Genomic DNA, 23,753 nt, shown 5'->3' with positions numbered 1-23,753 from the left:
GTGTGTGCATCCCTGGTGTCTCTATAGGTCTAAATTTCCTCTTCTTGTAAGGACACCAGTCAGATTGGATTACAGCCCACCCTAACAGCTTCATTTTTACTTAATCACCTCTTTAAAGGCCCTACCTCCAAATACAGTCAGATTTTGAGATTAGGGATTCAACATATAAATTTGGGGTGGGGGATACACAATTAAGACCATAGCATATGGAATAGCAGAAAAATATGTAAAAAGATAAATTGAAGTCTCACACAACTAAATAACTAACTTATATTGGGACACTTATTTTATTTCTCTCTGACTCATTTTTCTCATATCTAAAATGGGCAAAATATAAAAGAAAAATGCAAACCTGCCCTATTGATCTTATAGGGTGATTGTGAGTCTGACAAACAAAATAGGCAACACATCACTAATTTTTATAGGCAACGTGTCACTCTCCAGAACTACAGAGTTGGGGTAGTGTTGCTGTTGCATTGTTGTTGTGATAGCTCACTGCTTATTTACTTAGTCAATGTCTTGGTCTCTTCTTGTTTCTGTACTGCTGGATCTATGATGACTAAATGCTCTTAAGCACTGAGTGAGCCATTTTTTTCTGTCTATTCTTTAGCTCCACAGGTAAATGTTATCAAAGTGAAGGAGGGGCATTATACAGAAACTTAAAAAAGATACTCCTTATGGGTGTGTAGAACTGTGAATTTTCTCTTTCCTAGGACCTCTCTGCACTCAAAGATGCCATACTAACCTAATTAAAATAACTCATTTTATATATACTGCCTTTATTAGAAAATTTATATCATTAAGAATCATAAAAATCCTGGGAACTTGTTTTTCAATGTACATATAATTTTCACATAAATACTTAATATCTGTGACTTACACTAATGACAAGGAGAGTCTACTTTCCAGCAAGCCAAACCTCCTGGCAAGAATAACTAGAAGATTAGATAAAATCCAAAAGAATATTTGTTCGAAGACTCTTACTTGGAATTCAAACTGAACTACCAGACAGAAGGGGGAGAAAAGCTCTCTGTGAAAGGAGGTATCATACAAAATCTCTTAAGTTTTTCATACAATATGTCCAGCTTCAATTAAAAATTGCCATGGATGATGTAAAGCAGGACATAGATTTTGAAATAACTGTAATTAATATGTTCAAGAAAATGAATGACAAGATGGGGAATTTTCAGCAAAGAATTTGAATCTATAAAAGGAATCAAATGGAATATCTACACTTAAATTTATAAAAATTAAAATTTAAAAGCTCAGTAGATGGGTTTAACAGATTAGACATTGCTGATGAGAGGACCAGTGAACTGTGATATAGTTCAATAGAAAATATCCAGATTGAAGCATGGATGAAAAATTAGGATGTAACACATTTAAAAGTATGTAAGAGTCTGGGTGCTGTGGCTCACACCCATAGTCCTAACACTTTGAGAGGCCTAAGTGGGAGGATCACTTGAGCCCTGGAGTTTGAGACCAGCCTGGGCAACAAGGTGAAACCCTGTCTCTACAAATAATAAAGAAATTAGCCAGGCATAGAGGTGCATGCCTGTAGTCCCAGCTACTTGGGAGGCAGAGGTGGAAAGATCACTTGTGCCCATGAGATCGAGGCTGCAGTGAGCTCTGGTTATGCCACTACACTCCAGCTTGTGCAAAAGAGTGAGACCCTGTCAGAAAAAAAAAAGTATGCAAGAGACACATAGGAAATGGTGACAACATCTAACGTACATGTAACTGAAGTCAAAGAAAAATAGGAGAAAGAGAATAAAGATGAAGTTGAAGCAATTATGACTGAGAAGCTTCCGAAAGTAGTAAAAGACCTTAAGCCACAGATCTAAGAAATATGATGAACTCCCATTAAGACACATATAAAAAGAGCTTAGGCCCCTCTAAACATGGTAAGGTCTAAAGTCTAAAATAGTATTTCACAAAAATGAAGTATGATCTCAAATTTGAATCTCTTCACTGTGGAGCCTGTGAACAAGAGAGAAGAAGAAGAGGATGCAGAAAGCAAAGAGCAGAGTTCCAGTATGACTGCTGACAAGGGAAAATTCAAAGGAAATGAGGAGTAGCGTAAGAGGCTCATTGACACCCCTCAAACATTTCTTGAAGACCTATCACTCAAGAAAACAGAAAAATGGTGAAGGCTTGGCCTCCCTTTTACTAAGGAAAAAAATACTCATACTAGTTACTAATTAGAACTACTTCTGTTGAAGGGAAAGAAAAGCAAACTCAATTGGTTTAGACAATATAGAGATTTTGGTTTATTTAGCTGAAAATTCTGGCAGCAGCAAGGGCTGCAGGAATGGTTTGATCTAGCCATTCAGATATCAAAATCAAGGATCTGCCTTCTTTCTGGCTCTCTGATATGCCTTACCTCCTGTTGGCATCATCTTCAGGCTCTATATGGTAGTCCCTCAACTACTTGGACATTCTACAATAGCAAAATAGCTATGGTAGCTATGGCCATCACATCCTCACAGCTCACTCTTTGGATAGGTGTTCTCCTAAGAAGGAGAGAACTTTACTATCTAAGAAACTGTAGCAAGTATTTCTTCTCATATAGAAGCTCAGATTGAGTTTTATGGCCATCATTGAACCAAGACTGTGATTGGGATACCATGATAGGCTTAAACTAATCAGAGATCAAGTTTGGACTTGGAACTGGAGAGTCAGTCCAACCAAACCATAGTGCACTGGGATGGGGTAGGAGTAGTCACCACAAAGCAAAACATAGTTGCTGTCTTCAGAAGGGGATAATGAAGGAGAGAATCACCAGAGGAAAAAAAAAAAAAAAAAGAATGCTGAGAAGCACACACACACACACACACACGAATCAGCTTCAGTCACATGGTGTGGCCCATGGGGCCTTTTAGCCCTGTGAACACTTCACCCATTTCTCTTCCCTTTTCATTCTGCCTCACCCAGGCTCTGCTCTCAGTTATTGCTTGATGCACCAATCACTCCTGCCTCATGGCCTTAGCCTTTGCTGTAACATTTTCCTCCAATGCTCTTTATCCATATATTTTCACAGCTTGCTCTCTTGTTTCTCCTCCATTCAGGGTTTTATTTAAATGTCACTTCTTTAAAGAGGTCATTGATGAATTATCTATCTAAAATGGCAGCTATCATTACTTTCCATCCCCTAATCATTGGTTTTAGCTGTGTTTATAGCACTTATCACTACCTGACATTCTTTGATGCATCTCTTTGTTCTCTCCATCAGAATGCACACTCCATGAAGCAAAGATTCTGTCCTATAGTGCCCAGCATATAGTAAGCACTTAAATGTTTGTTACATGAATGAATTAGTTCAAGCCACAGACGTAACCCTGCCTCTGTTGTCTTAAAAAGGAAACTAAAACATTCATTGCCTCAGTTTCCTCATCTGTCAAATGGGGATGATTTCTACCTCACAGGGATAATTCTTTAGATGATGTGGAAATGTCTGTCATTTCTAGATATTTGACATATATGAGTTTCCTTCTCACAAAAGCTTCATTCAGTAGGCCCACTGAAGCCAGAAGCTTTTATTAAAGTCAGTTGTTCTCTATCCTGGTTTTACTTTAGAATCACCTAGGGAATTTTTTAAAAAGTACTGAGTTGGGTTCTCACCTCCTGAGATTCTGACTTAATTGGTCTGGTGTGATGCCTGAGCACTGGTAATTTTTAAAGCTGCCCAGGTGGGTCTAACATGCAGCCAGTGCTAAAGGCTACTGATTTCAAGTCATTAGTGAGGGCAGACAGGAGCGCTGGCTACGTAACTATCAGAACCCACTGGAAACCCTGTAAAACCTGGCCCTCCAACACCTGGAAATCTCTAGAAGCCAGCTTGGCTTATTTCCTCTGGTACAAATCTTCAACTGGCAGACTAGACAGATGGTTATTATTTATCCTTCTTGCTGTGTTAGAAAGAAAAAAAAATAGCTCTGCCTCAGGTTTTTCAAACAATTTTTACATGTGCAAGCCATTACCTTTTTATATGCTGTTAGGTATTAGGAAGGAGAAAGGGAAGCTTAAAAGAGACCAAGTAGACTAGTATGTATTTTTTCCTAATGGAAGTTTTAGAAGTGCAGACGGTAGAGAGGAATGGGGCTAGGACAAAGTTTATGTTCTAGATCTTATTTTTAAAAGGATAATGCATTAAACAGTGTCCCAAAAAATGTCTGGGACATCATAATTAATGTTAGTTTCTCTTCTCTGGGGAAGCTCGATTTGCTTAAGGGCACATAATAATAATAACACAACAACAGATAATAATACCTTGAATTGAGCATCTTCCCTGTGTTAGGTATTTTACGTAGGTTTTTTTCTTTAATCCCCACAGTATTATTGCAAATTTCTGTAATTTCACAAATGAAAGAATTAAGATCCAAAAGCTTGAAGCTGGTAAAGAGAAGAATCAGGGTTAGATGTTAGGTCTGTCTGTTCATCCTCCTCCCCTTTCCCCACGTACTGCTTCAAGAATCCCTTTAACAGGAGAGCTGTATGATTCAGAGTATTTTGAACCTCTTATAATAAACAGAAAGCTTTTCTTTCACATATTGGTTGAAATAAGCAGTAGCCAATGCTACTAGTTGAGGATGGGTTCTCGTGACAACTTAAACGTTCAACAGATCAAATAAGATCTGCCTCAAAAGGCCGCCCTAACTGGATGCCATCATACTCTTCATTTAGCCACTATTAAGGTTTGCTCTATATAGCATCTGGGGTAGATATGAGAGGATAAAGAAACACAGAGAAAAATTACTCCTCTCCCAGGATTGGAAAAGAATTTGGAAAAATGGCACTAAATGTCTAGTGACTTTATTTTTCAAACTACGTATTAGAACACATGGTCATTTATTTAACATGTATTCATTGAGTATTTAATTCTAATGAGGGGTGCTGGGGCTTCAAAGAAGGTTATGAAATCACATGTCTTCTTCATCAAGAAACTGAGGGAGAACTTTCACAATGATTTGTAAGTTTGATGCTAAAATTCCATATAACAAATGGCTTTTAAATTGATATGTGAATTTATTTGTAAAAATATCCTTACCTAGATAACACTATTAGTTAACATTCACTGAACAGTCGCTGTGTTTCAGGTATTTGCTTTACACTTTCTTTTTTTTTGTGATTTTTTTAAATTATACTTTTAAGTTTTAGGGTACATGTGCACATTGTGCAGGTTAGTTACATATGTATACATGAGCCATGCTGGTGCGCTGCACCCACTAACTCGTTATCTATCATTAGGTATATCTCCTGATGCTATCCCTCCCCCCTCCCCCCACCCCACAAAAGTCCCCAGAGTGTGATATTCCCCTTCCTGTGTCCATGTGATCTCATTGTTCAATTCCCACCTATGAGTGAGAATATGCGGTGTTTGGTTTTTTGTTCTTGTGATAGTTTACTGAGAATGATGATTTCCAATTTCATCCATGTCCCTACAAAGGACATGAACTCATCATTTTTTATGGCTGCATAGTATTCCATGGTGTATATGTGCCACATTTTCTTAATCCAGTCTATCATTGTTGGACATTTGGGTTGGTTCCAAGTCTTTGCTATTGTGAATAATGCCACAATAAACATACGTGTGCATGTGTCTTTATAGCAGCATGATTCATAGTCCTTCGGGTATATACCCAGTAATGGGATGGCTGGGTCAAATGGTATTTCCAGTTCTAGATCCCTGAGGAATCGCCACACTGACTTCCACAATGGTTGAACTAGTTTACAGTCCCACCAACAGTGTAAAAGTGTTCCTATTTCTCCACATCCTCTCCAGCACCTGTTGTTTCCTGACTTTTTAATGATTGCCATTCTAACTGGTGTGAGATGGTATCTCATTGTGGTTTTGATTTGCATTTCTCTGATGGCTAGGCATTACCATTCAGGACATAGGCACGGGCAAGGACTTCATGTCTAAAACACCAAAAGCAATGGCAACAAAAGACAAAATTGACAAATGGGATCTAATTAAACTAAAGAGCTTCTGCACAGCAAAAGAAACTACCATCAGAGTGAACAGGCAACCTACAAAATGGGAGAAAATTTTCGCAACCTACTCCTCTGACAAAGGGTTAATATCCAGAATCTACAATGAACTCAAACAAATTTACAAGAAAAAAACAAACAACCCCATCAAAAAGTGGGTGAAGGACATGAACAGACACTTCTCAAAAGAAGACATTTATGCAGCCAAAAAACACATGAAAAAATTGCTTTACACTTTCTAGTCCATTTAATCCTTACAATAGCCTATAGGTGTCATTATCCCCTTTATACAGAAGAGGAAACTGAGGCACAGAGAGGACAAGTAACTTGCTCAAGGTCATGCAGCTAGCAAGGAACAAAGCCAGGAATCAATGCCAAGGCATCTAGCTCCAGAGATTATACTCTCAACCACTATGGTACACTGCCTCCTTTGTTTAAAATGTATTGATTAAATCATTTTTATTAAAAATAGTGAGACTCAATTTAGAAATAATATACATTTGTTAATGGCATATCTGAATTATGCACTGATTAATAAAGCTGAGGCTCCCAGAAACCTGTGCTGTACAGTCATCCGCAGACTTGCAAAATAAATAAGTCACCAAGTCAGATGGAAGGTACTGAGTGATCAATGAAGGATACCTACAATAAGGCTCAGAGGATTTCCACAGGTCTTAATATTTGTTTGTGTTTTTCCTGCATCCTGTGGAAATCTCTTCTGTTCATGAAGGCAGCAGCCTGCTGCAAGTAGTACCTGGAAAACAGAATCCACTGGATTAGGGATGAGGCTGTTCAACCTCTTCCCGTCCAGTACCACCGACCATTGAAAGAAGCAAGGAAGGAAGATGAGAAAGGTTGTGCCTGGTCCTTTGGGTGCATGTGTGTGTAAAAGGAGGGGCAGAGGTTCTTAAGAGGCAGGACCACAGGAAGACGTCCCTTCAACTCCCTAAGTTACAAAAGCCTTTCTTAGGGCCTTGCTACAGGTTGTTGTCTCTGCTTTTCTGGAACTCTCTGCTCTGTGTGCATCACCATCATCATCTTTGCCTGGATAACTCCTCTTCAGTAGTGATAAGTGCTACAAACACAACTAAAACCAATCCTTCAGGTTGCGAATTTGTGTCACTTCCTCCGAAACCCCCACCACTGTTACCCCGGCCTCCAAAGAAGTTTAAATACTTTCCTATTTTCTCATATTTTTCTTTAGTTTTATTTATAGTAAGTTGTAACTAAATAAAAATTTAGAGTCATTGTTTAACATCTACTTCCAAATCTGAGGTCCACCAGGGTGGGAATCAGGTTTTTCTCACTCATCAGAGTGTTCCCATTACCTAACACAGTGCCAACCACAGAGCAAAGCCTCCATTTTTTTGTTGTTGCTGTTGTTGTTGCCTTGTGTATATGTGTGTGTTAAATGAAGAGACCAAGCTAAACCCTTCCTTTTTTTTTTTTTATTCTTGTTCAGGGAAGAATGAAAAGAAAGCCCCTGCCCCTCCAATGGAGCCTGAAGTCCCCGAGATGTCTCAAAGCAAAACTGAACATATGGTATGCACCTGGGGTATATAGAGTTTGGGGGAAGGTTTTCATGGATACTTGGCCTTTTCTCTGATGCTGGATGGGGCTCTCTCCTGTGGGTTTTGATTTTCTCCCAAACCCTTGATGTCAGACTGTCTTTGACTTCAAGACTCTCCTTGGGCAAAGAAGGAGGCAAAAGAACTACTTAAGTGTGGGTTAGTTTCTGTCCTTGCTGGTTTGCAGAAACCTATTGCCATCACGTGGTGATGGGCTTGCCACCTGCCCCAAGAAATTGGACTTGTAGCATACGTCTGGGTGTCCTTCCAAAGCTTGTGACCGATTCACAAACTGCCATCAAAATAAAGAGTGATTATGAGATCTATTTTAACATCTTAATTCCAACTTCCAGAAACTGAGGGTGACCTTTTCCCCAGACACCACATTTTAAAATGTAATAGCCTCTCTGATTAAAAAGAAGAAAGAAAGAAAAAAATCTGGCAAGCAGTTAAAACCCATTTTAATATTCCCAGCATTTAGCCAGGAGAAGTTGTAGACAGAATTTAAAAACAGCCTGAGTTTTTCTGTTGTTGTTTTTTAAATGCCCGGATTAGAACATAATTCATCTTAAAATGACGGGAGGCCTCCTCATGCACTTCACACGTTGAAATATTTTAGAAAATAGTACCCATTTTGGCAAGCCTCTTGCCATGCAAGAAACAACAGCAAATGCTTTTCTCCTTGAGTGTTAAGTCTGTTGTGAATAAGATTATAAAAAATATACTTTGCTCTTTTATTTTGCTTCTTGTTTAAAGAATTTATTGCATCTCTGCGATAATTGATTCTTCTCACATTCCTGTACAAACGGAATTGATTGTCCCACTTTTTAGAAAGGCAAATTGAAGCAGGGGTCTGGTAAAGCAAGTTTCCTATTGTCCCTGAGAAAATCATTCATTCATTCACTTATTCATTCATTAAACATGTCTTGACAACCTACTGTGTGCCAGCCACTAGCCAGACCTCAAGGATACATTAAAAACTATCTCACAGGCTCAACCTCTGGATCTCTGGTAGAGGTAATATTTGAAACAGACATAGACAACATCCAGTAGGAGTGCTGTGATGGGGAGCTACAAAGAATCACCTCTTGCCCAGCCTGGCGCTGTTGGGGAAGGCGTCCCACAGGAAATAAACAATTAGCCAAGTCTTGAAGAATGAGTAAGAACCCAAACAATCAAGGCATATATGGCAAGAAGGGTTTTTAAAACAGAAGTAACAACATTATAAAGGCAAAAAGGTATAAAACAGCTTCCATTTTTCAGGTTTTTGTGGCCAAAGAAGAAGATATGTATATAGGACTAAAAGAAGATTAGCTGGGTAGATAAGCAATAACTAGAATATAAATGGTTTTGTGTGCCACCCAAGGAATGTGAACTTCATCCAGATACAGTGGGACCAAAACAGTGAAGGATGTATTAGTTACATTGTTAGTTACTTGCTTAAGTCTGATTCAGGTCCCTACAAATCTCCCCTTTTCCTTGTCTTCAGTGGTCAAAGAGAGAGTGTTGAACTATCTAAAGAAATATAAAACTACTTAAAAGTAATTTCTCAGATCCAAGGGCACCTGTGATCTCTCTAAAATTATCCATCAAAATGTATGCAAATGTGCATTAATCTGGTCAGATTTTCTAAAGCTTTCATCTGATTTCTAAAGTAGTCCAATGCTCTAAAAAAAGTATAAGAATCACTATTCTAATTTACTATATGAAAACTTTCTGCTTTTCACAAAATTGATTTTATCAAAGTAGAATTCTTTTTATAGGAATCCGTTAAGACGTACTGGTTGTTTGTCATCCATGTGGGTACAATTTCATATAGCATTCCATGATCTCAAACAAAAGAATTCTTTACATTCCCCAGCAGCAACTTAATCCATGTTTGTTAACCAACTCAGAATTTGGCTTCTTATTGCACTTACAATTCTTTAGGGCTCTGGGATTCTCACAGCTTATATACGAGAAGTTTGAGACAAAGGTACAAAATTGGAAAAATTCAGACATTTGAAAGTTGGGGGAACACAGATGGTATACAAAAGTTAGAGGCATAATTTTATGGTGAATTAATTAGGAATATTTAGATTTCAATGAACAAAACCAACTCTACTAGCTTAATTTATTGGAAGAATAGAGAAGCATATTATACTCTCAAAGGACAGAAATGCAACAATGAACTAAAACCAGAGACTCTAACACCATCAAGACTTCCTATATCTTTTTTCTTCTCTCGTTGTCAGCTTCATATTCTCTCTCTTTCTCAGTAGACCAGCTTTTTCTCATTTGCAGTACACAAAATGGAAAACCTGCTAGAGTTCCAATATCTCACACATAATCACCTCCATTTTTCTCTCACAAATAGTACCAAAATTCCTGGACAATGGGTTTTTGGTTCATTTTGTATTAGATGCCCAGTCCTAAACTATGCAGATAGAACATGGCAGTTCTTTCCACAGCTGTGTGGGTCAGCAGGAAGGGCAATTTCTGCAAAAGGTGGGCTGGGCAGATCAAATAATAGATGCCCACTCACTGCACATGGTAAAGATCAGAATGCCTTATATGGCACTGCTGGGACTGATGTGTCTATTTAATTCTAAAACACCTCTATTTTATACTGGCAATGAATTTAGGATACTAAGATGAGCTAGCCTTTATGCCCTGCTTCTAGTCTTAGGTCTACTCTAAGATGTGTGTGATCTTAGTAAACCACTTGTACTTTCTGGGCCCCAGCCTCCTTTGCTAAATGAACAGGACTGGCAGACTAAGAGTGCTTTAACATCCTTTGAAATGGACCCACAAGCCTAAGATAACATCATTATTGTTTCGATCATCTTTTGTCAAAAACCTCACACTCATGACCCAGAAGTATTTCTTTCAAGAAGTATGAGCATTGTCTGAAGTCTACCCCCTGCAGACCCCACTAGTACAAAACAGAGTAGAACATCATGAAAAGCCTCAGTCAGTTACAAAGTTCTTTGCTTCATGCAAGTCAAAAATGAAAACTGAATAAAAATCATGATGTCACCCTTCTCTTTAGACACACACACTTCACATGTTTGTATCCAGCAAGATTTGGCAGATATGATCTTATGGCACTGAAGATTTGAAGCTCATCCTCTTAGCTTTCCAAACTCAAACCTTGCTATAAATCTTGCTAGTTGTGTGGCCTCATCTTTGGCCAAGAGATTGGAGAAGCTCTGGGTGGTGAATGTGTTGCCAATGCTTTTGTTGTTTTGGTAGAAAACTCCAGAAGAGGAGCTGCAGCCAGAAAGCTCTCCTGCTGAAACTTCAGCCTGCAAAGATCCTCTGAAACCTTTAAAGATCAGGCCAGTCTCCCAGCCCTTCGTGAATCCAGCTGTGAAGAACAAGGCTGAGGAATGTGAGACGTGGATAGACAGGTTCAGGAAGCTGGAAAATGCCCTCTACCTGTGTGATCTGAGTAACACAGGTGAAGTATGAATTGTAAAGCTGGCATAGGTTTCTATTTGTGGTCTAGTCTAAAAGTAGGCACCTCATTTTCTTTTGCCTCTTGAACAAATGATACAATTAATATATAAATCATGTGCCCTGCAATGTGCTGAGCACAATCCAGAAATATGAAGACGAATCAGACAGGAATCCCATACCAGATTGCTTATAATTTCTCTGTATTCCCAATACTTCCTGCACCCTACTGCCAAAAAGTAAACCCACAATCCAATTTTATAATTCCTCTGATTAAAATACCTCAGAGATACCCCACTGATAAGAGGATGAACTCCAAACTCCTTAGCAAGGCAAAATCTGGTCCCTATCCACCTGGCCAATCTCTTCTCCTACTATTGATATTCTCTCAGCACGTCCTGCCCAGTAATAATGAATAACTTGCCTTGCCTCAAGCAGGCCTTGTCTCGCACACGCCTGTGCCATTTCTAACTCCCAGCCTTTCATCTGGGCTCTTTGTTTCCTCTCTACTTACCCCAACCCCCACGAACTCCCCATCTTGTCCCCTGGCTAATCAATACCTAAACATCTTTTATGTTTGAATTCAAACACAATTCCCCTGAGACTCCCAGACAGATCTAGGCCAACTTTCCTATGGCTTCTTAGGATTCTTTAACATCCATCATCATATGCAACATATTGTATATTTTTATTTGGGGGCTTATTACTATCTCACCAGTAGACTATCTTCCTTGTTTATCCCTGGCACCTTGCACAGTTTTGTTTTGAGGAAAGAAATACATGAGCCAGTGTGCGTAAATAACCAAATCCAAGATAGATGGTGATAAATGTTGTTAGAGTATGCTCTGTGGGCATTCAGAGAAAAGTGAATTTCTTCCTGGTGGGGTCATCATGGAAGGCTTTGTTAATGTTAAATTGATCATTAAACTTAAAATGCAGTTTGGTCACAAAGGAATGAAGTAGCCTTTTCTGGCAAAGGTGCAAATGCTGTGTGTGAAGCTCAGTGCAGGGTGCTCAATATAGGGGCTATTAAAAAGAATATTAAATGATAAAGATGGAAATAAAGAATGGGGCCAGATATTGAAAGATTTTAAATGCCAGACCAAGGAATTTGGAGTCAATTCAAAGATAATGAGAGCACGGAGAGTTTCTAAGTAGAGGAGTGGTGTAATGAAGTTGTACTTCAGAAGGATCCTTGATGACTATGTGCAGAATGAAGGAGAAAGTGAAATAAGGGAAAGTGGAAAGGAGAGAGAGAATGAAGTCTAGAACCACATCAGAGTGCTGGGAAAAGAGGGAGCAGATAGAAAAGCACATGGTCCCAAAATGTCTTATTTATTTACATACTGTGGTTCATGAAGAGTTGGTGTACACATTAGTACCATCTAGAAGTAATCATATGACAATAGCAATGTCTGTCTTTTCATTCTCTTTGTGTGTTTTTGTTTTGCTTTGAATTTCCAAAGCAACTTAATTCTAGACCACGAGGAAGTATAATTGCCATACAAAATCCAGGGACTCTTAATAATTATACCAAAGAGAAAAAAAAACCTGAAAATTTTAATTGAAAGATTCATCTGGTTGAATTATAAAGTTATTTATTAAAAATACGTTATGAGCCTAGAACTGTGTTAGAGGCTGAACCAAGAGGAAAACCAGAAAGGATGAGACATAGTCTCTGGCCTCAAGGAGCTTACCTTTAGGTAAGACACAGAGACTAACAATAGTTCAGTGCCAGTAAACAAACAAAATTAAAACACAGCATTAAGTATTACAAATGAAGTTACATGGCTGGGCATGGTGGCTCATGCCTGTAATCCCAGCACTTTGGGAGGCTGAGGTGGGAAGATCACTTGAGCCCAAGAGTTTGAGACAAATGAAGGCACAAATAAGAGTTCAAGAGTCAAAAGGAAAGTGAAGGTATGAAATGAGGCTGACCATCTAATGCGAGGTCCGGGACCAAGAGAGGACTCCAAGAAAGAGAGAACTTGAGCTGAGACTTCAGGTAGAATTTGGACAGTTGGACAGGTCATCCCGAGTTTGAAGTCATCTCCTGCAAAAGTTAGAAGGTGAGAATGAGTATGATGGAGAAGCGAGTACCAAGACAGGACTGCTGGAGGTGGATGTTGGACATACAGTAAAGTTGAGAACCTATTATGAACCCTAAGGGATAGGATGAGGCTTCATTCTTTACCCAGTATCCAAATGTACATGCGGAGGAAGGCATAATGAAAGCTGAGATGGATGACTTAGGGAAGGTACTGGAGAGAAGGAGATGAAAAGATTATTGAAATAACCCTGAGTCTGGGTATTCACAACAGGGCTATGAGAGTGGTGATGAGGTTACAAGCAATAACAAAACATTTTTTAAAAAAATGACATTGCTAAAGAAACAAATGCTTACTTGTGATGGATAATGGATCATAAACTTAGTTGCTAAGACACTCTCCAAAGACTGGGAGATTTCTCATGCTTCTGAACCGTTCTGAGGAGAAACGGAGTTTGTTGACTTTGGAGGCAGATTCCGACAGATTTGAAATGCCTTTCTCATGGCCTCTTCACTATTTATGCCTGTTTTCTCTGTTTCCATGAAATTCATTAGTTCCTCAACAGCCAAGGAATGTGTCAGCCAGATCTGGGAAAATCTACAACTGTCTTTAATGAGGAAAGAGGATTAACTGAGGTCACTTTGGTGGTTTATTAACCCACAGTACTTAGCAGACCACCATAGCCCCATTCTAGATGCTGAGCAGATGATATCTGCTTTGCCCATGGATGAATCACTATTCTTTATTATGTGCAAAGAAATATGTAGGCCAGCATGTTCTCCATCCAGGATGAGGACAGGCCATCCATCATCACATCAGTGCTTCTGGGAACCTACTGTGCTTATTCTCTAATGGGGGTTGTCAACAAAATAGCCTTGAGGAGAAGGGATAAGGAATGATTATGAATAACTAGTCATGTTTTCTAAAGAAAAAAAAACAGTGGTTAAGATAAATGTCTGGGTGAATGTTGCATTTGGAATTTTCCCAGTGAAGTGAAAGCTAAATAGAAAGTGTTTTAGAGTTCAAGGAGGGAGAATGCAATGAGAGCCTGAAAGAAATTCCTCTGCATGAGCCCGGACTTTACATATACTACATCACTAAATTCTCACATCAACAACATGCTGAAGGGATTAGTATCCTTATTTACAGAGAAGAAAGCCAAGCTCAAAGTGATAAAATAATAGCCAGTAGGATGGTGAGCCATAATTCAAGCCCAGCTCTCCATGAATCCCCACTACACCCAGTCCCATGACATACTAGAAAGAGCACACGATTTTGCTTGATTTTTTTTTTTAATCAGAAGATTTAGATTCAAATCCAGACTCCACCCATTGTTGATCCGTAAAAGCCAGTCACTTACATTCTCTTCACCTGTTTCCTCATCTACAAAGTAAAACTGATAATAATAAAACATACTTCCCAGATTTGAGAACGGATCAAATGAGATAAAAGATTGAAAGTTCTTTATATACTGTACAATGAAGTTGATGTTGAAAATGTTCTTATGGTGGGGTGCAGTGGCTCACGCCTGTAATCCCAGCACTTTGGGAGGCCAAGGCAGGTGGATCACCTGAGGTCAGGAGTTCGAGACCAGCCTGGCCAACATGGTGAAACCCCGTTTCTACTAAAAATACAAAAATGAGCCGGCTGTGGTGGCAGGCACCTGTAGTCCCAGCTACTTGGGAGGCTGAGGCAGGAAAATCACTTGAACCCAGGAAGTGGAGGTTGCAGTGAACCGGGATCATGCCACTGCACTCCAGCCTGGGCAACAAGAGCAAAACTCCATCTCAAAAAAAAAAAAAAAAAAAGGATTCTTATTATTTTTTTATTTTGGTTCTGGTTAGAAAAGACAGGCTTTCCAACACTAAGATGGATTGTAAGGGCTATTTTATGCAGCTGTTCTGGGCATCCCCTAATGACAGAGTAAATTAGACAGATACAAATTTCATTCAGTGGACTTTTTGTTTGACTCTAGGCATCTTCTATCAATGGTAAAGCTTAGAAGATAGAAAATACTACTGTGATTCCTAGATGTATTTTTTAACATAACTTTTAATTTTTAATTAAAATATAAACTAAATGCTATCTATTTTAATAAGCAATTACATATATACTGTTTATATATTTTTAAAATAATGTTGATGACATAATTATTATAATTATCCTATAGTAAAATTTCACATTATTGAGTGATTACTAGTACTGGATACTGTGTGAACTTAATATTTTATTGATTTTCACACAATTTAATTACCTCTGTTTTCTTTTCCTTCTTTCCCTCTTTCTTTCCTCTTTTGACATTTATTTATGTATTTATGTATTTATGTATTTATTTATTTATTTAAGACAGGGGCCTCACTCCGTTGCCTGGGCTAGAATGCAATGGCATGATCACAACTCACTGCAGCCTCGACCTCCCAGGCTCAAATGATCCTCCCACCTTAGCTGGTGCATGCCACCACACCTCACTCATTTTTTTTCTTACAGTCATAAACTTATTCCAAATCCATGTCTTATATTTCCAGAGGCAGGGTGTGGAGAAATGGCCAGAGGAAGCAAAGCTAGACAGGACTGAGAGCAGCCATCCTATCCAGAAAACTTCGAAGATGCAATTGGCCAACTCAAAGAATGAGGTTTACATAAATGAAAGGACCACTGTTCTAATAAGAGAGACAGACAATAAATAGGCAATGAACAAACCAGAACAGAATAGAAAATGAACACACTGGAATAGAACAGAATAAATTAGGACCCCACCTATTGTGGCCTACTGTTAAAAATAGCGATTAGAGAGTAGTTGAGAAGGTGGCACCATGCACAATAGTACTTGCACATTTAAAAATGAGTAATATTTGGTATCTTAAACTGAGATGATAAGTATCTACCATTGCCCAACTCTAATGGACTAGTAGTGGCTTTCCGCAAAATGACAAGGCACTGCCTCTGGATTCTTTAGGAAGGAATTTCACCATCACTCTTACAGTTCGCACATATGAAGGAGAGTAAAAGAGGCCAGGCACAGTGGCACATGCCTATAATCCCAGCACTTTGAAAGGCATTAGGGGGAGGGTTGCTTGAGCTCAGGAGTTCCAGACCAGTCTGGGCACATAGTGAAACTTCATCACTACAAAAAATAAAAATATTAGCTGAGAGTGGTGGCACATACCTGCAATCCCAGCTACTCATGTGGCTTAGGTGGGAGGATCCCTTGAGCCCAGGAGATCAAGGCTACAGTGAGCCATGATCGTGCCTCTGTACTCCAGCCTAGGCAACAGAGTAAGACCCTGTCTCAAAATAAAAAATAAATAAATAAATAAATAAATAAATAAATAAATAAATAGACCCCTACTTGAAGCAATCTCTTTTCCCTCATTCCATAACGTACTGTAGTGGTTAACCTTAGGCAATCAAGAGACTTGCAGTCTCTAGGCTTTAGTTTTGCCCTCTGTGAAATGGGTTATTGTAAGGATTCAATTAGTTAATATTGGTGAAATGCTTGGAGCAGTTCCTGGAACATAGTAAATTTTATATTTAAATATTGTTTAATTATTATTGTTGTATCCCAGTTAATTTTCTGAATAACTTCTCTCCCCCACGGGACAGAGAACTTCCAGAGGTAGCAGAAAAATTCTCTAAATCTTCTGTATTCCCAAGCACAGTATCTGACACATAGATATTTGCAATTAGGGGCTTATGAGTGAGTTATTGATCTTCAGTGATGCCGTGGTCTACACTGCGACTCCTCCCAACAGCCATCAAAATCTATCCAATCTTAACATGGAAAGCATACTGACATTGGTATTGGCATATATAATGTGTGGGTACCAGAGCATATCCTGCAGTCATACACATTACCACCTCTATTACGCAGATTCAAACTCTGAGCTATGAGAAGTTAGATGCTTCACCTGTGATTGCACAGCAAGCTGGAGGGAGTCACAGGACAGTCAGTCCTCTGCATCTTTGTATTCCGCAACTACAGATTCAACCAACTGCATATCAAAAATATTTTAAAAAATAGAAATAAAATATAATGACACGACAACAAAAAAAAGTACAAATTTTAAAACACAGTATAACAACTATTTGCATTGCAATTGCATTGTATTAGGTGTTACAAGTAATCTAGAGATGGTTTAAAGTACATGGGAGAATGTGTATAGGTTACATGCAAATACTACTCCATTTTATATCGGGGCTTGAGCATCCATGGGTGTAGGTATCACTGTTGGGGAGGGGAATATTATGGACCTAATCCCTGCAGATACCAAAGAACATCTATAAATACATTTAGAGAAATGCATTTTGAAAATAAGCTGTTTAATCCCTGCATGTTTAGGAATGTGTTTGGAGACTTTAACAAGATAAAAAGAACTCAGGACAATTAGAAGTTACTTTTGCTAGGCACCCCCAGTGTTTCAAAAATTGGCCTTACAAGTTTTAAAGTTACAAAGAAAAGCCTAAATTGCTTTAGAATTTATCTATGGATCTTATTGGATCCCATCTTGTTCTCTTTCCCCTGAAATCACCCTCAGATTCTTCCTGAAATCTGTGATGCATACCCACAGCTATAAATATTTTTTAATATGCCACTTGATTTTTAAGAAGCTTAAAATTGCAAAGTATTAGCATTTAGTCTTTACCTGGAAGTCATTCAAGCTAATATATAGTTTTCTCTGTTTTCCCTCCATCCTCTTTAAAAAACCTTCCTCCTACCCAATCCAATCACAGGAGTTCTGGAGAAGGAACGAGCCAGACGCCTCATTCACAACTACAATCTCATTTACAACCTGTCCCTGAGCCCTCAGAAAATCGACCAGGCCTTGCGCAGATTCCGTTCGGGAGAAAATATGCTCTTGGAGCCAGCACTGCGGTACTTAAAGGAGCTATGATAACAAGCCCATATTGTGAGAACAGATGTTTCCCTTATCTCCCTTTTTACCCAGACACATGTTTCTCCCCAGCCTAAGTGTAGTGGCGGAGGCATTGTCAGAGTGGAGGCCGATGCAGCTATTGTAGATGCTTTTGATTTGGACTTAGTTTCTGGCTATGATGCTCACTCATAAGCAGTTCAAAGTGATCAGAGGAAACCTAGTTTTATCTTTTGATGTGGCAAGAACCCAGCTACTTAGAATCTCCTTCTGTTTTAATAAAACTTATTATTAATATTACATGTTTGATTTTTTCCTACATTGCTAATCAAACTATGTTGTTTCAAACCCCACAATTCCACATAGTAAAAAAAACATTAAATGTTGCCACTTCCCCACAGTGCCTGGAACCTAGTAGACCTATGAACATCATTTTTGGATAGGTAAATCATCCCTTCTCCTGGTCATTATTCTAGGAAGGATTTCCATACCATAAGAAAAATAAAAGTATTACCAATACACTATCTTAATCTTAAGCAGTAGAAGAAACATTTCAAGTGAGGTTTTCTGAACAAGTCCAATATTTTCTGCAGTACAAAACTAAACAACATTACACTGTCTCCAGGGGTATTTTCCAAAAGTCCAAGATAGAAGTTTTGAGGAAGGACTCCTTGGGACAAAGCGTTTTGGGAATAGGTAACATCCTTTGCTCTGCCTGGACAGGAAAACCAGGTGGAACTTTCCATCAGCTCCCATAGTTCTTCTGTTCTTAACATCCCCCCTGACTTTGCACCACTCACATAGCACACAGTTACACACGTATCACACCATACAGGTAGCATGAGCTCATTGAAGAAACACTGGCCTGGAGCTTCAGAGACAATGTGCTCCCAGCACCATCACTAATACTGGGTGATCAGGGTACTGAGTTTCCAATCTGTGTGCCAGACAAAATGAACAAGTTAGGTCAAGGGGAAAATCAAACAGAAAGGCCTCTGAGCATCCCTTTCTATCCATTTTATAAAATGAGGTGCTTCATGTACTCTTATAGACAAGGCCTTAAGAACAAAACTATTTGGATCCACTGAAATAAATGGTCTCTAAGGGTCTTCTAGTCTGACCTGCTTTGGTTTTTATAATCCTTGAGTTGTCCAGAAAAATGACTCTTGAAACCGACTGACCACCCTTTCTAGAACCCTTGGACTTTCTGGCTGCCTTTTAGGTCAAAAGAGCAAGCAAATAGACACGGCTTTCTCATTCTAACAAAATGCCAAGTAAGGACAATTAGAATAGTAGGTCAAAAATTTAATATGCCTTGAGCAACTATTGTGTTTGAGGAACCTGACATACTTTGTTTGGTCTATCTCTGACAATTCAATAAGACAGGTTTCACAGCTCTGTTTCACAGATGAGGAAACAGACTCAGAGGACAAGAAAGCTGTTTGGTTGTGCCAGTTAATATCTGCTAGAAGGTTCGTGCTTCCTGTGAAGGACTGGTCAACTGATACTGAGAAGGTCTCACTTTACCCTTCATCTCTGGGAGTAAGTGGGTTGGAGAGGCAGTTTGGGTAAAAGAAGATCCTAAACCTGAAGTCGGGGTTATTAGACAAAATCATAAGGCCCTGAAGAGCAATGATTTTACCTTGCCCAATTCTTAATATCCAATATCTAGCATAGTTTCTGATAAGTAGCCTCAGCATCCCCAAGCTACACAAATGCAGGGGGCTGCATTTACATAGAATGCAGCATGAAAGGTGCCACCAGAGCTGTGTGACCACAGGTTAAGCATAACCTGTACTATAGTCTTGGCTGAATGAATACTTCTATAAGTAGGGTAACCTTTACCAGATCTAGATCCACAGTCACCCTACTACCCTACCCCCCATATTTCCACACAGAGTAGAAAAAGAATAAATAGCTTCAAAAATAGCCAAAATCTGGCTCTTGCACTTAGCGGGTGGTAGACTTGACAAGTTGCTTAATCCCCCTGGAGTTCAGTTCCTTCATCTATAAAACAGAAGCAATTACATCTGTTTGAAGGATTGTTATAAACATTGAAAGCAATGCCATTTGAACAGTTCTTTGCATGTAATAACGATATACCCTTTTATGTCCCTTCCCTTAGCTGCTGAACATTCAAGAAGCTTCCAAAGTACTTTGAACAACGGTCTATGTGAAATGGCATAGGGAGGTCAGGCCACTACTACAGTAAGAACAAATTTTGAGATGTATCTGCCTTCTAGAGTCAAGTATCAATTGCTTTTGCATCGTCTCCTGGAATTCTCCACTGCTTTTCCCCAAGGGGTGTGTGTGTGTGTGTGTGTGTGTGTGTGTGTGTGTGTGTGTGTGTCTGTCTGTCTGTCTTAAAGAAAAAATTATTCTGACTCTTGTTAAAATCGTAAGGCAGGTTTTACTCAAAACTATCACAATAGTCATAGGAACCACTGCAATGGAGTTTTGCAGTAGGGGAGAGATATTGGGCTCAACTCTAAATTCAACAAGAAAAAGTGGGAATTGATAGACAAGGAGCATTGGGGAGGGGTGTTGGTGGATGGAAATTACTAAGAAGTGCCAGGAAGTCATTATGGTTCAGAATATCATTATGATCTCTATGCTGGAACTTCATGGTTTACTTATAGAAAGTCTGTTACTTTTCTCCCTTTTTTCTCAGAGCTGTGTCATTGTGAACTTCTAATAACCACTGTGTTGGGAAAGTCTGGTGTCAGTCTTGACCAGTGTCCTCCAAAAAAACCTTCCCAAATGGATGTCTGTGGATAGTGGACTGGTTATCCTTCAGTGTGCTCTGGAGATGCTTGGTGTCAATTGAGTATGTCCCAACTCCCCCAAAAACCTCAGGCTTTAAGGATGGAAAGGGCACAGAATGACAGAGGCAGGTTCTCATCAGCTGGGCAGACTCTTTCCCAGCTGTGTGGCCCTGAACAAGTCCCTACTTACCTGAGAGCATCATTCATATTAAATGAGATAATGCATGCAAATTGCCCAGTGCTATGCCTGGCACATAGACATGCTCCATAAGGGAAACTAGCTTATTTTAGTCTTATACAGGATTTCATTTTACCCCATCCAATGGGCCAAATGGTTGAATGCCTTTTCCAGGTACAGACATTTTCCAAGCCCACAGATGGTTCACCGACTGTGTGGTCCTGGAGGGCACAGAATATGTGTTCCACATTCCTGTCTCTCATTCTCTGTCCTGTACTTACTCCACAAAGTAAACCAATGAGGTTGGCATTACCATGCCCATTGTACAGGTGAGAAACAGAGGCTCAGGGTAGTGTATGTACTTGCCTAAGGACTTATAGCTGTGAGTGACTGAGCCAGGATTAGAACCCAGTCTTGCATAACTCCAAGTTCCTCAATGCTGTTGGCCACAGTTAGAGCAAATAAACCATACAATTCTCTTTAGCATGTGTGGTGTGTCCCTCCCAGCAAGTCTGGAGGTGACTGCAAGCCAGGAACAAGATCTTCCTGTCTTTGTGACCAGCGCAGAGCTCAGACGCACTGCCGAGTGGGCACCTGGCAATCATCTGCTAAGTGGAGCCCCCACGGGTACATTTTGAAAACCCAACAGCTTTTTGCCCTCTTCCCATCCTCCAGCTTCATCACTGCCTTCTGGGAACTGGAACAAAGATGGTTTTCAGGACTCTGGCATGGTATGTTCACACTACCAGAAGCACAACTGTAGAGATGGCGCAGTCCAAAAAGTTTGCTAAGTGCTTGCTGACTCTTCTGAGGAATTTCCCAAGATCATTAAGAGAAACAATAACAGGGGGTTTGATATTCTAATTGGGATCAGAGATTGGACAGCTTTGGAGCTGGCCAGAGAACTGTGAAGCTCTGAAAACAAATGCTCTCCTTTCTTCTCTCCCTCTCTTCACTCCTCTCTCTTCTAAGAGCCTTTCAGCTACAGTTCCAATGTTCCTTAGCAACAAAGGCGGGGTTCCCAGAGTCGGGCGTGCCTTAGGAATGCCAGCCATTTCCCTCATTAGCATTCGGGGGCCCTCATCTGCCTGCACAGTTGGCCACGGGACTGTGCAAAAGGCAAAGAGGCTTGCGGGAAGCCCAGCATCAAGCGTGGTTTGTTGGGAATGGGAAACCTCCACAAAGAGTTTTCAAACAAAAGGCATCAATATTATTTGTGGAGCCATCAGACTGCCTGGGGCACAATATGGCTCTGGCTGGGCCACATGCTCTCTCTCCAGGTTCTGTGTGAAGGCTTAATGGGGCTTCCCAGACACCTCTTGGCCAAGAACGCTAGCACATTGGAACGTCTCCCACCTCTTCCCTTCTCTCCTGTGCTGTCTTTCTCCAGACTCAGTTTATCCAGGATGGACAATGGGTGGAATCCATGGGCGGATTCCAACTGGCAGTGGGAGTGCCCGGAGGAGGAAGTTGACAAAGGGTAAATGGTCAGATGGTAGGACAATCGCAAACAGATGGTGCTGCTGGGAATGGATTCCAGGCAAATTCACAGGCAGATTGAGCTCTGACAAAGGCTGATCGAGACTTAGCTGGTGAAGAGAAATTGGCACTTTGAACCAAGCACTTGCTTAAAACACACACCCCACTCTCCCACACTATCTTCAACAGCTACACAAGGGCGACACCTAGCCTGGTTCTGACTCACCCGGATTCCAAAATACTGATCAATAGACCAATCTCTGGAAGATTACAACCAGCAAAACTATTTCTCAACATTCTCATAGAACCAGCCCTAAGCAGGGTTTCCTTCAGCCTGCATATTCTTGGACACCTTCAGGGACATGGATCTCACTACTTGTCTTCTTTTGCTTTCCAGACAGCTCCAGCTTGTTCTTCTAAAACAAGTTCCTCTTCTAGTCCCTTTTTTCTCTCCCTTGTGGCCAAAGAGAATGCAAAATGTGATCAATAATTGTAGCAAAAACTAACTCTGTGCCTGGCCCTTCTAGGCATCAGGGATAATTAAAAAGAAAGAAAGAAGGAAAGAAAACCGTATTTCTGTCCTCCAGAACTGACTTAATTTGGGAGGGATTAGGTGGAAGTGGATTTAGGGGAACAGATGTGTAGGCAAGTGTATTAGTTTGCTAGGGCTGCCATAACCAAGTACTGCAAACTGGCCAGCTTAAACAACAAAACTGTATTACCTCACAGTTCTGGAGGCTAGAAGCCCAAAATCAAAGTATCAATAGAGTTGATTCTTTCTAAGGGCCACAAGGGAGAATCTGTTTCATGCCCCTTCCTTGGCTTAATGTCTTCAGTATTGCTTGACTCGTTGAGGCATGACCTTGATCTATGCCTTCACCTTCACATTACATTCTCCTTCAGTATGTGTCTCTCTCTATGTCAGATTTCCTCTTTTCAATATGGCACCAGTCATATGGAATTAGGGCCCACCAGAACGATGAAGGACCTCATTTTAACTTGATCACCTCTGAAAAGGCTATTCCAAATAAGATCATGTTCTGAGGCACTGGAAGTTAGGACTTCAGCAGAACTTTCACGCAGGGATGCAATTCCACCTATGACAGCAAGTAGGTAAATAACTGTACTAGTGTGATAAGCACTTTCTTAAACTTACCGTGAGAGTAATGAGTGCACAACAGAAAGAATAAACATCTCAAATTGAGTGAATCAATGGGAGCTTATTGGGGGACAAGATGCTTGTGCTCAGCCTGGAATGTTGAACTGGATTCTGCCAGGTGAGTGAAGGCAGATGACCTTTCCTGGAAAGGGACAAGCATATGCAAGCCACATATTATCCCTTTTCCACCTGATGCTTTTTTATGATTTCCTGTCCCCTCCTCCCACAACACACACAATACCCCTAGGTTGTATAC

General features: G+C 40.0%; 1 protein-coding gene across 2 annotated transcripts in view; it reads left to right on the top strand.

Moving 5' to 3' along the window:
* Window positions 1–18,216, top strand: part of C1orf87 (chromosome 1 open reading frame 87) — an 83,377-nt gene extending 65,161 nt beyond the window's left edge. For both annotated transcript variants that reach the window (NM_152377.3, XM_017000307.2), the window contains 3 exons: window positions 7,454–7,533; window positions 10,794–11,001; window positions 17,777–18,216. In NM_152377.3, coding sequence (NP_689590.1) covers window positions 7,454–7,533; window positions 10,794–11,001; window positions 17,777–17,937 — 449 coding nt within the window. In that variant the 3' untranslated portion in view covers window positions 17,938–18,216. The remainder of the gene's footprint in view (window positions 1–7,453; window positions 7,534–10,793; window positions 11,002–17,776) is intronic.
* The last annotated feature ends 5,537 nt before the right edge of the window (window positions 18,217–23,753 follow it).

Source organism: Homo sapiens, chromosome 1 (assembly GCF_000001405.40).
Source record: "Homo sapiens chromosome 1, GRCh38.p14 Primary Assembly".
NCBI classification, from domain to species: domain Eukaryota; kingdom Metazoa; phylum Chordata; class Mammalia; order Primates; family Hominidae; genus Homo; species Homo sapiens.
This window is presented reverse-complemented; position numbering and strand designations above follow the sequence as displayed.